We start from the raw sequence: 15,605 nt of genomic DNA, 5'->3' as shown, positions 1-15,605 counted from the left end.
AAGGTTCCGCCGCGACAGGGAACTCTGTGGGATGCTCCCCCTTCCTAGGTGGGGGCTGAAGGGGTCCACACTCTCCCCCACCACTTTCTCTATGGGCTGGGTCCTGACCTTGGTGTCACTTTAGGGCATGGGCTCTGCTCTCTTCCCTGGGTTTCTCAGTTGCACCCTGGCTTAGCCCGCCCTGCTGTTCTCCTAGACGCTGTGGCTGCCATCCTGCTTTCTAATGGCAGCTGCAGAAATTACATTCAATCATGAGTTTTCCTAAAATAGTGTATAAGGGAAAACCTCCCCCACCCTCACCAGCCCCGTTCATATGAAATTCGGCAACAGCTCAAACTAATTGTTTGCCTCTAGAAAGCAAAATAAAGTAGCTGGTCAGCTCTATCATGTACGGGCTGTATTTTCTTTTGTTGTTTGTTTTCTTTCAGTGATGCTAGGGTGGATTGTCTGTTTAGGAAGGAACCTCCTTGTGGGTGGAGGCTGCATGTAGGACTTTTGGCCTCAGTTTTCTGAAGTGTAAAATGGTAATACTTCTTCTCATATGGTAATTATGAGGACTGAATACATGTGACATCTTGTAAGAGCATGTAACTCAAGAACAGAATATCCCCATGACTAAATGTCAAATCTCTTATCCTTCTCTCTGTAAAAGAAATGATTTATGGGCATATGTATGTCATACTTATGATCTATTTTTCTCTGTTCACCCCAAGATAGTTTCTATAACACAATTTTGCCACTGACTCCCTCCCTCATTGCCTTTTATCACACATGTGCTTGTTGGTGTGAAACATTGATAAAGGTAGATGCACAGGCATAAAGTGTAATCCAATATTCTTCTCTTACTTCTCACAAACACGTTTGTGAGATGTTTAGACATCTCTAAAAACCCTCTGACCTTCTGCCAGTTTTATCAGGCTTGGGGCATGAGTGGATGTTTGGAGGCATGCTGAGGGTCACCCGAGAAAGGCAGGTGCATGTCTGTTGTATTTTAAGGCCCTGCGAAAGGTTAAGTGTGCTTCTAAGCACCTTATACCTATTCACTGTAGTTAGGTTCTTAGGTGAAGATTTCATGGTGATGGAGGTAAAGGTAGATCAAGACCTAGGCAGCAGTTGCCAATCCATAGATCTGGCAGAGGGGGCAGGTTTCTGAATTGGGGCCAAAATGTGAGATGGCCTGACACACCTCACCTGGTGGAACAACCCATCTTGCCCAGACCCCTAGAGTAGAGAGTGGAAATACGACTTTTGAGAAGTTGATTTTATTCTAGTACCTTGATACCTACTCCATCTCATTGTTGAGGCTCCCCCTCTTCTGCTCTGGCCAGGTTTGGGGTCATTCCTTTCTACTCACTGTGCCTTGGACCCCGAAAAATCTAGGGCAAGTTGATCTAGCTCCAAGAACATCCTCCCCAAGCCCTGGCATGCTCGCCACTGATCAGGAATCCCCTGATGTGGAGGCAGAGAGTCCGGAGCAGGCACCCCACTGGCTGTTTGAAGCATGCATTCCAGTTCCTGAAACTCTTTATCTCACACACTGTGCTGGTAATAGGTATAGCCAAGACTTCAATTGCAGGTACATCATGCTAAGGCACTCTCTAAGACCTTTTCATGTATTATTTAATTATTAATTATTATTTATTTAAATATCATTTAATACAACAAGTCTATTTGTTGGAGCATTATATTCATTCTCATTTTATGGAGGAGGAAACTGAGGCACAGAGAAGGTAAGTGATTCACCCTTTATTACCACAACTAGTAGGTGGTAGGGTCAGATTTTGAATGCATGCAACCTGGCTACAAAGTCTTAACCACTAAACAATGCCATACGGTCCTTGTTTCTTGACCCTGTCAAGAATCAGACATTGAGTTCCCTCGATGTTTTTGTTTCCTGAGTGTGTGCCAGGAGGAAATTCAGCAAGCCGTCCCTAGGCCAGAGCACTTTCCCAGTTAAACAACAGCATATTTATTAATTTATTCCATTCTACATGAACCTGTCTCTGGCTGTATGGGCTTAAATTGAAATGCGCTGCCCTGATCCAACAGCAGGAGGATGTAATCTGAATTATTTCTCCCTTGCTGGGGAATGTGCCCTGAGTCACCAGCACAGATTCCTCCTCCTTTGCTTCTTTCCTGCAGGGTGGCAGGTCAGAGCTAGAGGAAGTCTGTGGCCCACAAACTAAACCAGTCCTAACTAGATGGCCTGGGCTGAAACCGATTCCTCTGATCTCCACCTCCTTGCTATGGACAAGCTTTCCCTATGAAGCTCAGCTGTTTCTTAATGGATGGGCACAGGCTGTTTTACTACCTCCCTCAGCCTACATTCTGGCTGCTGATTGTACAGCAGGCACTGGCTTTCCACAGCCCTCCCACCTTGGAGAATTTGAGTCCCAATGCTCAATGATTCATTTTGCTGTACTGTCTCAGAATTCAGAATTTTTTTTTTTCTGCCGAACATCCTTTGCTTATTGAATGAAAGAGTGAATGGATTATTGAATTAAGGCAGAACCTGAGAAGAAACCAAGTTGTTTAAACACATCTGTGTATTCCCAAGTGTCTTGGACACCACATGCCTTTTCCTGAAAGTAAATTTAAAAACACAGCAGAAAGAAACATGGTGGGTGAGTTTTGTCTGTCAACCACAACCGTCAGAGCTTCAGACTTCATGTCAGGATTGGGGATGCCTGGGAACTGACACAGGGCACAGCCGCTCAGTGGCTGCTGCTCAGAAACAGTCAGGGCTGGGTGTGGTGGCTTATGCCTGTAATCCCAGGACTTTGGGAGGCCAAGGCAGGCGGATCATGAGGTCAGGAGTTCGAGACCAGTCTGGCCAATATGGTGAAACCCCATCTCTACTAAAAATACAAAAGTTAGTCGGGCATGGTGGCAGGCACCTGTAGTCCCAGCTACTTGGGAGGCTGAGGCAGGAGTATTGCTTGAACCCGGGAGGCAGAAGTTGCGATGAGCCCAGGTCACACCACTGCACTCCAGCCTGGGTGACAGAGCAAGACTCTGTCTCAAAAAACAAAAAACAAAAAAAAAGAAAGAAAGAAAGAAAGAAAGAGTCAGAAACAGTCAGATATAATCCTAAATGGTCTGTGTCTGTGTCTAAATGGACTCCAGCTCTACAAACAGGCCTTTGTTTGTTTGAGAGCAAATTCCCACTGGGCTGAGGCAACCGGATTTTCCTAGCATCCTTCGTGGTGTGTTATCAAAGGTAGAGCAGGTAGGCAGGGTGGGGCCAAGGAGGTGAGCTCTGGGTCCCCCCATGTTATCTCAGCCTCCAGGAATGGCAGGAGGCTGCAGGGCCTGGGGCTGGCACAGACTCAGCATCCTGCTCTCTACTGTGCAGACACCACGGGGCTCAACCTGGAGTTTGTGTGAGGTGGTTGTGAGCTTGACAAAGCCATCACCTTGCCTTTCCTAAGTACTGACTCTACTCCTGTCGCCTTCCAGGACTGCAGTGCCAAGTGTATTATGCATGTATTTTAAAACATTTGACTAAATCTAGGAGTTACAAAGTATAGCTTTATGACATGGCTATACTCTGTAATGGTGAAGTCTGGGCTTTTAGTGGTAATTTTTCATCCCTCGTCCCTCTCCCACTCACCCACCCTTTCAAGTCCTCAATGTCTATCAGTCCACAATCTATGTCCATGTGTACATATTATTTAGCTCTTGTTTATCATAGAGAACAGGCAGTATTTGACTTTCTGATTCTGAGTTACTTCATTTAAGATAATGGCTGGTAGTTCCATCCATTTTGCTGCAAAAGACATGATTTTATTTTTTTTATGGCTGAGTAGTATTCCATTGTATGTGTGCATATATACCACATTTTCTTTTACTTCCTGTATTTTATGATGCTTTGACAAATCCTGCTGATCCTGGAGAGATGGCTCCTCCCAGGGCTAGTGAATTCCTAGAGCTAGCAAAGGACTCCCTTGAGAATGCATCTTTCACATGCAAAAGAACCAATCCAGAGCCCACATCTACCAACCAGTTCCTTTATGAGGCTCTCACAGGATGAGTCACTATTCCCCACACTCACACCACCCCAGGGCAAGGTACCAGACAACTGGGGGCAATCTCTACACCCTGGAGGCCCCTGAAATTATTCCGACTAGCCAATCCGAAATCTGCCTCCCCAGCCTCCCCGATTCCATCCCATGATAACCACAATACAGGTTTTTGTCCCCACTTTCCCTTCATCCTTTTGCCTCTTGATTGACCTAGTTCTTCCCCCAGTGGCCCTGCCTGGTGTGCCATGCCTCCTGTTCCCAGGAATACTGTGAGTATAAAAAACTCTTCCTTCATGACGGTCATTCCATAGTGCATCTCTTACCATATATGATTCAAACAAATCCTGACTGCATTGTATCACACCAGGATTCTGTCTGTCTCTCTTCAACTCCCCTGGGTCAAGCCTGGAGAATTATGAAGAAGTCCCTCTTCTAACATTTCTTGAGCCCTCAATATAAGGTAAGATCTTTATTTTACTAGGATCTTTTCTTTTTTTAAAGAAACTTCTCTAGAGTTTCTAACAACATCATCGACAACCACAGCAATAAGAGCTACCAGGTACAAAGTCTTACTATGAGTTGGGCATTTTCTATGGATTATTTTCTTTAATTCAGATTATCTCCATCTTTCATCTTCTGAGACTGATTGCTCAAGATCACACAGCTGGACAGAGGTGGCATTCAGAACTAGGTGGTCTGACTCATGGGGCAGTGCAAAGAGCCAATGCACATGCAGGGGCAGCCACGCCTGGGGAGTAGGTTTTAGAAGACTATTGGAACTCACATGCATAGCTCTAGAATAGCACAAAGCCTGGTTAGCAAACTGGCTGTTGGTCAGCAGACAATTACCTGGCCCCTGAGAGAAAGAGAGGCTACACCTGTGTGTAAATCAAGTATTATGCTGAGCAGGCTGTTCAGCGCAGCAGTTACATTTTTTCCTAGTGAGACTCTGTGGATGAAGGAAGCAGCATGGTGATTTCCACTGAGACACCCTTTCCTTATCTTGCTGTCTTGGATCAGCACTTTGAATGCACCCTTGCTATAAGATGGCACAGGCTGCCCTAGTCTCTCTGAAGCCCTGGGGCTGCTGCTTTGAGAATTCCTGCACCAGAGAGGAGATTTATCTAGACGATCTTGCTGGTTTATTTGTTTAATCACTGACCAGATCTTTATCGGGGGGCCCATCTCAGGTCTGATAGGTGGTGCATGTTAGTGACACAACATACATCCCTGGAGTACAAGTTTCTTGTACCCTGGGAGTCTATGATTCTAACAACGTAGTCCTGTTCCAAGCAAATCAGAATCATCATTTGTGATTTATGTTTTCACGTGTTTATATCTTATTTACCCTTAACAGATTGTAGACTCTTTAATCCTAGAACTGTGCTGCGTATTTCTTTGGCATCCCCACAGCATCCATATCAGTAAATTGTTTGATTTCACTTGATCACATGAATTATGTCTTCTTACTGAATATCATATGTAATCCTATCAATATCCAGTTATAAAATTATCATTTGCCTTTTAAAATTAGAACTTTGCTTTCCTTTAGACTCCAGAATAAGTCCGCACCAGCTATGACAACCATGACCTCGAGAAATTACTTAATCCCCTTAAGCCTGAATTTTCTCATCTGTAAATATTAGTAGTGTCCAACTTTACAGAGTTGTCGTAAGGAATGAATAAAACATGAGTATTTATTTATAAATGCATAGTATTAAGCACAATGTCTGGCTCATGGTAAATGCCCAATTAGTATTTGCTAGTATTACTGTCATTGTTTTCAGTTAGTTGTAAATTAAGAGGAGAAATTCTAGAAATCATTTTCATAGTAACACCAATGAGAACCATCAAAGATACGTGCTGCCTCAGCATTATGTTTTGGAAAAATGTCTGCGATGCCTTTGTATGTGCTTAGTTATTTATTTAAGGAATGTAAACACATTTTAACACCTGCTTAATCCAAAAAATGTCATGACACATATCACTGTCAAGTTCCTAAGAAGTTACAGAAAAACACTATAGGAAGCATTTGTGTGTGTGGGTGCACATATGTAATTTACAAAAGTAACTGGGGATTATCAGCTTTTAGGAATTTCCCAGGCCTATGCTTCCTCCTAAATTGAGAAGAATTAAAAGTTAACCATCTACTAGAGCGTGAATTTACCAATATGATGGAGGCAAAGGCATCAGATGATGTTTAACCAACATGCTTTTGGGTCCAGGAGTTAAGCCACCCTTGATGTCTCACTTAGCCTGAATCTCCAAGAGCCACAGCAGTTCATGTCAAAACAAGCTTCGTGGGGTGGGATAGAAGCAGATGGAGATGGGGCCTGCAGTGCAGGAGAGCGCATGGAGTAAAGGGGCATGGTGCACAGGCAGAGATGCTTTTATAACTCAGGGTTTTTCCTTTCTTTTTCCTCCAGTTGTGCTCAGTAACAGAACCTCCCAGGCGAGGAACTGTGGTTAACAGGCATTGATCTGTGTACCAAAGGCAAGACCACAACCGATCAGAGGAAAGGACACGTGATTAAACAGTCCACTGCCAACTGGAAACAAAAACACAGGGCTAGCAGGAGGCATGAGCAGCATGGTAGATTGGAAAGAATAAGGCAGTGAGACTCAGAAGATCTGATCTGGGGTCCTAGCTCCAGAACAGGCATGGTATGCAACAATGCAGGTCACTCTCTGAGCCTCAGTCTGCACATCAAACAGAACAGGTTAGCAATTCCTAATCTGTCTCTCTCTTGTTCTTTCTATTTCATAGAGAGGCCCAAATTAAGATCCTAGATATGAATCTTCCTGCAAAACATACAAATGCAGACTTGAGTTATCATGTGGCCAGAAGCAATGCCCTCCTGGAGTCATAAAAAAGTATTAGCCAAGGGCCTGAGCAAACCCATGAATGATAATGAATCAGACTGAATGATGACAACAAAAGTGAAAAAAAATCCCTCGAACAAAAAACAACAAGCATGTTACAATCTTCCATACCCTCTTAAAGCCACTGCTACTGCTGAACCACTCGTTGAGGTTATATAATGCCCCATAAAAACCAGCGCAGTCATTATCTTCCCACCATGGGGAAACGCAGCTCCGCTCCATGCTTTGGGCCACAGGCATCCGAGATGGAGGCCATTTCTCCAAGGCTAAGCTGCTAACCTGGCGTACACTGCGTTGCCACAGGGAACCTGGCAGCCAGCACCTGCTGCTGCAGCTGCAGCCCAAGCTTCCCTGTTGGCAAACTCCAAAAAGCATTTTGTGAGGTTGGCTGCAGGGCCCAGTGCTGAGAGTGAAACTCCTTCCGGTGCCCTGTGGGTACAGTTGGCGGCTGGGAGGGAACACACTTCTTCCTGCATCCTCCCATGTGAGAACACGACTTCTGAGGAGCCCTCATTACAAGTCATGTTGCCACCACAGCACACGGTGGCAATTGCCTCCCCAGTCTCCTGTTCGTTCATCTGTGAAAGCCAGCTCCACGTGAGGCACCATGTCCTGCTCCACAGCCAAGGGGACACTAGCTGTTCTGCTGCCTCGTCTTCACTCTTCTGCTGCTAGAGCTGTCCTAAACACTCATCAGCTTCAAACCCAACCTAGACAGCAGAGAGAGTGCAGGGCTGGGCTTCCTCCTCCCCACCTGGCTGGCTCAGTGCTAACCACTAATCCCACACCAGGAGTTGGGGTCTGCTCTTATTAGCTTATAGGGCAGTCACAGCCTTGCCTTTACCTAGAAGAATGAAAACCATGGAGTTCTGGGATTTATTTTTGCTCCCTGCTTCATATCATGATTGTTTCCATTTCTCTGAAGAGGACATTGAGGCTTAGATATCTGAACTATTTTGCCTGAGGTCAGAGCTAGTAAAAAGTTGGAACCCAAAGTAGAAATCTGGTCTATCAAACTGCAGAGTCCTTTTTCTTTCCATCTCTGCAAACTGCTTTTCCTTTTGAGAGAGCAACAGCATGGAATCTTCAGCATCATTACTTCCCTAAGGGCAGACCCTGGGCCCTTATTCTTGGAAGTACATCTGGGTTTAACTCTGATACATTCATGAGAGAAGAGACACAAATCTCAGGGTAAAATTTCTGTCAGATTCATGATGGACATACATGGTCTTCGATGAAGACTACACATCATTTCAAAACTCGGCTTCTGGTCAGACCCCTCAGGATCCCCGTGAGTTATCACTGAGACTTTATACTTATTGATATATACTCAATTCCCATGAGATTGATGAAGAAAACCTCTTGTCCCCTAGGGACAAGATAGAACTGGGTTTCTGCTGCTCATACCACAAGAAAAAGGGGGCAAATCAAATAAGGATATCTAGAGAGGTGTCTTGAACTTTTTCTGAACCCTCATTGCATTAGCATATACTGGAGGGCTGTTGATTTCTTTGGAAGTCCTGGGAGGCTTCAGGGACTCACAGAGATAATGTAAAGCCAGCTTTGGTATCTCAGGAGCTCTGAAGAAGCCCTTGTCAAGCCTCAGGAAGCTCTGGAGGCATTACTGGATCATTCCTTCAGAAGGCTTGGGGCAAAAACTTGCCTTTTATATGACTTCTGGGCTCTGGATGGATAGATCCACTCTGACCTGAGGTGGGTCAGCCCTGGTTCAACTGGATGCATTCTTCATCCTCAGAATAGCTTCAAAGGTTACTGCATCATGTTAGATTCATGAAATGGTTTGGCCTTCACAAAGAGACAGAATATGGCCAGCTGACTCAATTCTGAAGAGGAAATTCCTCATTTCTGAGTGTTCTTAAGTAGCAACATCTCCAGGTTAAATGTGCGAATTAATCCCAATGATGGTAGGAAAACTGGGAAATGGAAAAAATTCACAGCTGTGAGATGGGAAAGACCAGATGGGAAAGATCAGGAGACTGCGTCCTGGTGCAGAGGATTTATGTGGGTACATCATGGAAGATGGTAGGCAAGGTACATAGAGAATGGCCTGGAGGCCTCATAGGCTTTATCTAGTAGGCTCTTGGGAGCCCCTGTAAATTTTCACACTGGAGAATAATAATCAAAGTGAGGCTTTAAGCATTACTGGAGATCTTTTGTTCCATTTCATCAGCAAACCCTCAAGATGTGTATTGTTTTCTAGCAAGTACATTTAGAAGAAGACAGAGCAAGACAAATGAAAAAACACCCATCTAATACAGGATGTGACTGCACAGGAGAAATGAAAGAGATAAAAGTAACAGTTGCATAAAACAAATATGATCCATTGACTAGGAGTGGCTGGAATTGGAAACTGATTCAGGAAGAGATATTGTGGGCCAGGCAAGTCGTTAGCTCAGGAGTGAGAGGACTGAGGGTGGAATGTTAACTTTTCCACTAGCAGCATGGTTGAGTCAGCTTTCCCAACTTCACAGTTTATACTGAGGAGGTTTATAACTGGGGGAAGTGGGGCATATTTTGACAGAACTTCTTAAATGATAATCTCTCGCAAACCAGCCCTCTACAGCTCCATGGGAGATGAGACCCTGAGCTGGACAGACCATATGTTTGTGGCTCTGCATTGTACTTCTGATCAACCAAGAAACTTGTTATGTGCTGTAGAGTTCACTTGGTGCAACAGAGGATGTGCGAATATAAGGCAATTCCTCTTCTTGAGACCTTAAGGTTTAGTTGCTATTGTGGGTTGAATTGTGTCCCCCTAAAAAGATGTATGGTCTTTTAACCCCTATTACCTCGGAAAGTGACCTTATGTGGAGAAAGTCTTTATAGAGTAATCAAAGTAAAATGAGGTCTTTAGGGTGGGCCCTAATCTGATATGACTGTTGTTCTTATAAGAAGAGAAAATTTTGACACAGGCCTGTACACAGGGCGAATGCCATAAGAAATGAAGGCAGAGTTAGGGGCGATGCATACATAAGCCAAAGAATGCCAGAGGTTGCCAGCAAACCACCAAATGCAAGGAGAGAAGCATGGAACAGCCTCTCTCAATGTCCTAAAAAGGAACCAATTCTGCAGACACTTTGATCTTGGACTTCCAGCCTCCAGAACTGTGAGACAATACATTTCAGTTATTTAAGCCCCCAGCTTGTGGAACTTGGTTACTACATCTCAAACTGATACAGTTGCAAAGACTCTGAACGAACCTACAAGGAACAATTAAAGAACAAGCTAGTAGGAACAGACATATATGAAGTAGGGGTGCTGAGTAAATGGGGGAAATACGCTGGTTGAGAAAGATTTTTGGCTGGGCATGGTGGCTCACGCCTGTAATCCCAGCACTTCAGGAGGCCAAGGTGGGAGGATCATGAGGTCAAGAGATTGAAACCATCCTGGCCAAAATGGTGAAACCCTGTCTCTACTAAAAATACAAAACTTAGCTGGGCATGGTGGTGCATGCCTGTAGTCCCAGCTACTCAGGAGGCTGAGGCAGGAGAATCACTTGAACCCGAGAGGTGGAGCTTGCAGTGAGCTGAGATCATGCCATTGCACTCCAGCCTGGGCAACAGAGTCAGACTCGGTCTCAAAAAAAAAAAAAAAAAAAAAAAAAAGGCCGGGTGCAGTGGCTCACACCTGTAATCCCAGCACTTTGGGAGGCTGAGGTGGGCAGATCATGAGGTCAGGAGATTGAGACCATCCTGGCTAACACAGTGAAACCCCGTCTCTACTAAAAATACAAAAAATTAGCCGGGCGTGGTGGCAGGCGCCTGTAGTCCCAGTTACTTGAGAGGCTGCAGCAGCAGAATGGCGTGAACCCGGAAGGTGGGGCTTGCAGTGAGCCGAGATCATGCCACTGTACTCCAGCCTGGGCGACAGAGCAAGACTCTGTCTCAAAAAAAAAAAAAAAAAAAAAGGAAGATTTTAAGACTTCACGGAGGCAGGAGGGCTTGAGTCAGGCCTGGAGTACCTTTGAAGGCTTATTGCCCGATTTGGTGAATCTGCAGGTGGTTTTGCATTCTGTTCCCTCTGAACACTGTTACAGAGTCTGCAGCTCTTTCCCTGAGTCATATTTCACAACTCCTCTTTTATCCAGTGTATACCTTCTGGATGCACTTAGAAATTCTTTCCCAATTTTAAGAATCTGTTGACCCCATGGTCTTATGACCCTATTACAGGCATCATCCTACACCAAACCCACCTTCTGGCTGGTGGGCTGAATAGTCTTCTGTTCAGTTTTCCCACCAGAAAAATGATGACTGTATCTCCTTTCACTTACCTTGTGGTGAGTCTAAGAATGGTTTGAAAAGCACCTTAATTTGGGAGACTTTTAAGGGTTAACCATCAAGACTCTTGTTTTAGTAAATGCCCAGGGAACACAATGTGACTATGTAGTACATGAGGTTGTATTTTCTTCCTATATATTATTTTTCTTGTGTAGTGATGATGGTTGGCATCTCTCTTGTCATAATATTAGTTTCATTCCTTCACTGAGATGCTGCGCCAAAGCCCTTATAGGACTCTGCAGATCACTTGGCTTCTTCTACTATTTACTTTTAAAATAACAATCACATCCCATGAAATTCCTTTGTCCCACACCAGCTATATTTCTGGTATGTTCCCTGACCATGATGATGGAGAAGCTTATCAGGATCACTCCCAATGTCAATTAATGATGTTTTAAAAAATGACATTGGGAGTGAAGTGAAGAAAGCAAACCATTCTCTAATCTTGGCAGAAATGTCAGGGATTGAGCTTTGCCGTTCAGAGACTCTGCATGGTCCAGCAGCCGAGGGAAATAAGCTCTCACCCATGAGTGAAGCCTGTGATTCACTGCCTAGGCCTGTAAATAGATATGTTATGAGCCAGAAACACTGGGCCTGGGGCTGCCACACTCTCTGCCTAAAAGATGGAGGAGTGGTGGAAAGGCTGTCAGGTGGGCACCAGGTTAGATCTCAGGACACCTGGTCCTAACCCTGTTTCTTTTTCATTTACCTGAAGAGTTACCCACATTCTTATAATTCTTGTTTCCTCACAGGTAAGATAAACAGAAGAGACTCTTCTACTCTGATATTCTTTGATTCTGTAACAGGCAGCTGGTTACACAATAGAAAGTGAAGTTTACATAAACTTGGACAGTAGAGATGCTGTTTCTTCTACACAGTGCATGTGAAAGGATGCATCACACCCAAGGTACAATGAGGCCAATCATCACGCCAACCATCGGTGTAAAAAAGATGAATTTGGGATGCCAAGGACAACATCTACCTGGAGTATTCCGTTTTTATGGCATGAATGGAAGAAAACCACAATAATTGGTCCCCATACTAAGTCATGCTCAAAGAAGGCAGAAGTGCATATATTTTGCCGGGGCTATGTTCACACCTATGCCATATGCTACCTTGGTGTTCATCAGGTGAGATTTATTCTGGTGCAGGATTTCTCCACTTCAGCACGCCTGACATTTAGATGAGATAATTCCTTGTTACAGGGTAGGGTAAAGGCTGTTCCACGCCTTGTAGGGTATTCAGCAGCATCCCTGGCTTCTACTCACCAGATGCCAGCAGAAGCCCCCACTTAGCTGTAATAAATGTATCTCCAGACATTGCCAAAAGTCTCCTGGTGGGGGGCTAAATAAACCCAGGCAAGAATCACTGGCGTAGTGGGATACTATCTTACGAAAGGACTACCCACACCTAAGTCATAAAGCACAGTGATAAGAAATGTCACCCTTCCTGGAATTTAAAAGAGAGTCACCACATTTAGATTACGAAGGTCAACAGACATTTGGGTGCCTATGCAACTAGACCTTGTGAAGATTTAGGAAAAGAAAAAAAGACTTTCAGATTACTGCTGTTTTTTTTTTTTTTTTCCCATGACATTACTATTCTTCCAGCATCTAATGTGGAAAGAGAAGTGAAGTCTTTTATTGGACTCATATGAGGATGGTTTGGCTATGGAGATATGGGCAGGCTACTCGCTCGTTCACATGTTTACAGTGGGAAGTGCCTCCTGTCCTCGAGGCCATGCCTAGAGTAAATATTGCCCATGTAGCTGGTTCATGATGGTGTTGGGTGGCATAGACTGCTGTCTAATCATGCTCCTTGAATAGGACAAAGGCCCACTCAGTAGGCTTGAACTCACATACATACATTACTTGTAATGGAAGAGGGTAATCATGAAAAGCAAACTACTTATTGCAACGATATTGCCATTGTTTAAATGTCACTTGGAGTTTGAAACCAATAGAACCAGATTGTGAGCCAATCAATAAAGCCCAGGGTCCTGTATGCTCATGGATGAGGAACTAAAAAATACACAGATTCCCTAGAATTGTGCACAAGTGATTTTTGAAAGTTTGCATATTTTTGTTTTCTCAGAGGATGAGGGTTTTCTCTGATGAATAATTTTAAAAGAAAATATACCAAAATCTCTGGAGATAATTTCAGAAATATTCCAAAGTATTTTGAGCGATGGCAGCTTTGTGGAATGTGATGTATCCTTTTGAGAAAAAGACCTATTTGTTGAGTTTGGCACATATCAGTGTATTTCTTAAATGGATCAATCTAATTACTAGTTTCTCACATATACCAAGGTGCTCAGCTCCCACCTCCACCCCAACAACCCAAGTTCTTAACTATCAATCCTCAAAGAGGTGGTGAGTAGTTAAGAAGACCCACTGTTTCCATTTTTAGCCAAGTCTACACTGTCCCTTCTCAGATTACATTTTCAACTGAGCCCTTAAAACTAGCCTGAAAGGGTAAAACAAACGAACACCTTTCTATATAAAGAAAACAATCTCAATAATGTCTCTTCAGATGAGAGAGTTGCTGAAGTTTGAGCACCTTGGAGAAGGAACTGCAAAATGCCAGCAAAAGTGGAAGCTACAGGTTTGAGGGCGAAGGCACCCACCAAAGGCAATAACAGGCAGTGCTTAGAATTCGGCATTGCCCTTGGAAACATTTACATGCTTAAAAATATAAATATAAAAGATCGAGGGTGTGGAGGGAGATAAGAAGGAAAACAGAAGAAGAATGAAAGAACTGTTCCATTCCTGGCCACCATTAATACCACCAAATTAAAATAAATCCCAAATGAATAGGACGAACAGTATTGAGGCAAACACTGAATTCCAGCAGGGACCAGGCCTGTGTTGTAAAAACAGGACCATGTGCTTTAGGAGGAATGCTGTGTGCTCAGCCTTGTTTATAACACGGCAAAGGATTCAAGAATGGAATCTGTTCCTCTTGACAAAAAAAAAAAAAAAATGGTTCTTCTCAACCCTTGCCCTCCACCATCTTCCACTCTTTGCCCTTTTCAGATCGCAGATCTGAAAGCTGGGGTTCTAGGGTGAATTTTTGAAATGCTCTGTTTTGGCCTGTTTTCATCAGCATAGCTAGAAGGTGGAGAGGGATGGGTGGCAGGGCAGGGAGCCAGGGAACTGAACTGTGGGGGAGAAGGCTTTGTTTTTTTCAAAGAGAGATCAATGTACGGAAGCGAAGCTTTTCTGAAGGAGCTTTCCAGACTTTTCGGATCTGTGGTATTTTCAGGCAGGTTATTATTATGATTATTATTTTGGTGGGGGAGCCTTGGATAATGCATGAGATCTGGAGATTCAAAAAGGAACAGCTCCCTCTCACTCTGTGGGATAAAATCCCACCCTGACTTTATTCTGTCTTAAGTAAGTTTCCTGAGGATCCTTTAGTCTCAGTATGAGTTAACCGAGCATGAAGGTAGTGCAGTGGAAAAAGCATGGATTTAGGGGTCTAAGGTCTTTTCTACCTCTTCCTGGTTGTGGCATCTTGGTATGTTACCTGTCCCTGCAAAGCAAAAAGGAGAAGGGTAATATCTTCATTGCAGGAGTTTTGCAAGGCTCAAATTAGAACACATCTATAAAGTAATGAGCAGCAGGCCCAGCACAAATGGTACAAGAGAAATGGTAGGGTCCTTCCTGCTGCTCCTCCTCAAAGATGGGCCTTTTCTACAGTATCCCTAATATTGGAAGTTTAAGTTCTGCCTGAACACAGGCAGAGATGAACAGCTCCCCACCTCTTCGGGCAGCCTACTCTGTATAGGTAGCTCTACTTGTTGTTAAGCTCTTACTGGGAGTCAGTATTGGCTTTCCTCTATTTTCTACTGACATAGAATACTGTCATTTAACTGCAACAACACAAACAACTAACATTTATTGTGCATTTACTTTGTATACTGGCCTAAGAGCTTTTCAGGCATTATAGAATTTAATCCTTACAATACTCAATAAAGTAGGAGTTAATATTGCCCTCATTTTACAGATGGGGAAACAGGCTTTGAGTGGTGACAAGACTTACCAAAAATGTCTTACTCAACAAGTGGAAGAGCTGAGACTTGAACCCAAGTCACTGTCAGTCCCAATTCATGCTGCAATTCCAGACTACACTGCTGTCCTTGGTAGGGCAAGCATTTAGTGTGTTGGATTCGGAGGAGTTATTCAGCAAATGGAGAATGAATGAATGAATGAATGAATGAGCAAATGGATGAATGAATGAATGACCATATCACACATACTAAGGAATCATTCTATTTGCAAAGTAGTCAGGACCTGGGCTGTTTCAACCTCTATTTTGTTGGGGTCCCACTTTCAATACATCCTGTCCTCATCTTTATTGCTTAGGCTGTCTTCGTAACTCAGTACTGCTTTTAAGG

The 15,605-nt window shown here is 43.8% G+C and overlaps 1 protein-coding gene across 17 annotated transcripts in view, besides 2 other annotated features; it reads right to left on the bottom strand.

Annotated features, from left to right (window-relative positions):
• Nucleotides 1-15,605, bottom strand: part of SETBP1 (SET binding protein 1) — a 388,438-nt gene that overhangs the window by 52,031 nt on the left and 320,802 nt on the right. The window lies entirely within an intron of this gene.
• Nucleotides 6,827-7,326: an enhancer, noted in NCBI's record as "H3K4me1 hESC enhancer chr18:42589119-42589618 (GRCh37/hg19 assembly coordinates)". NCBI's record gives its function as "activates a minimal SCP1, AML or CMV promoter by ChIP-STARR-seq in primed H9 embryonic stem cells {active_cell/tissue: H9 hESC(primed)}" and the evidence as "EXISTENCE:reporter gene assay evidence [ECO:0000049][PMID:30033119]".
• Nucleotides 7,327-7,828: an enhancer, noted in NCBI's record as "H3K4me1 hESC enhancer chr18:42588617-42589118 (GRCh37/hg19 assembly coordinates)". NCBI's record gives its function as "activates a minimal SCP1, AML or CMV promoter by ChIP-STARR-seq in primed H9 embryonic stem cells {active_cell/tissue: H9 hESC(primed)}" and the evidence as "EXISTENCE:reporter gene assay evidence [ECO:0000049][PMID:30033119]".

Source organism: Homo sapiens, chromosome 18 (assembly GCF_000001405.40).
Source record: "Homo sapiens chromosome 18, GRCh38.p14 Primary Assembly".
Lineage (NCBI taxonomy): Eukaryota > Metazoa > Chordata > Mammalia > Primates > Hominidae > Homo > Homo sapiens.
This window is presented reverse-complemented; position numbering and strand designations above follow the sequence as displayed.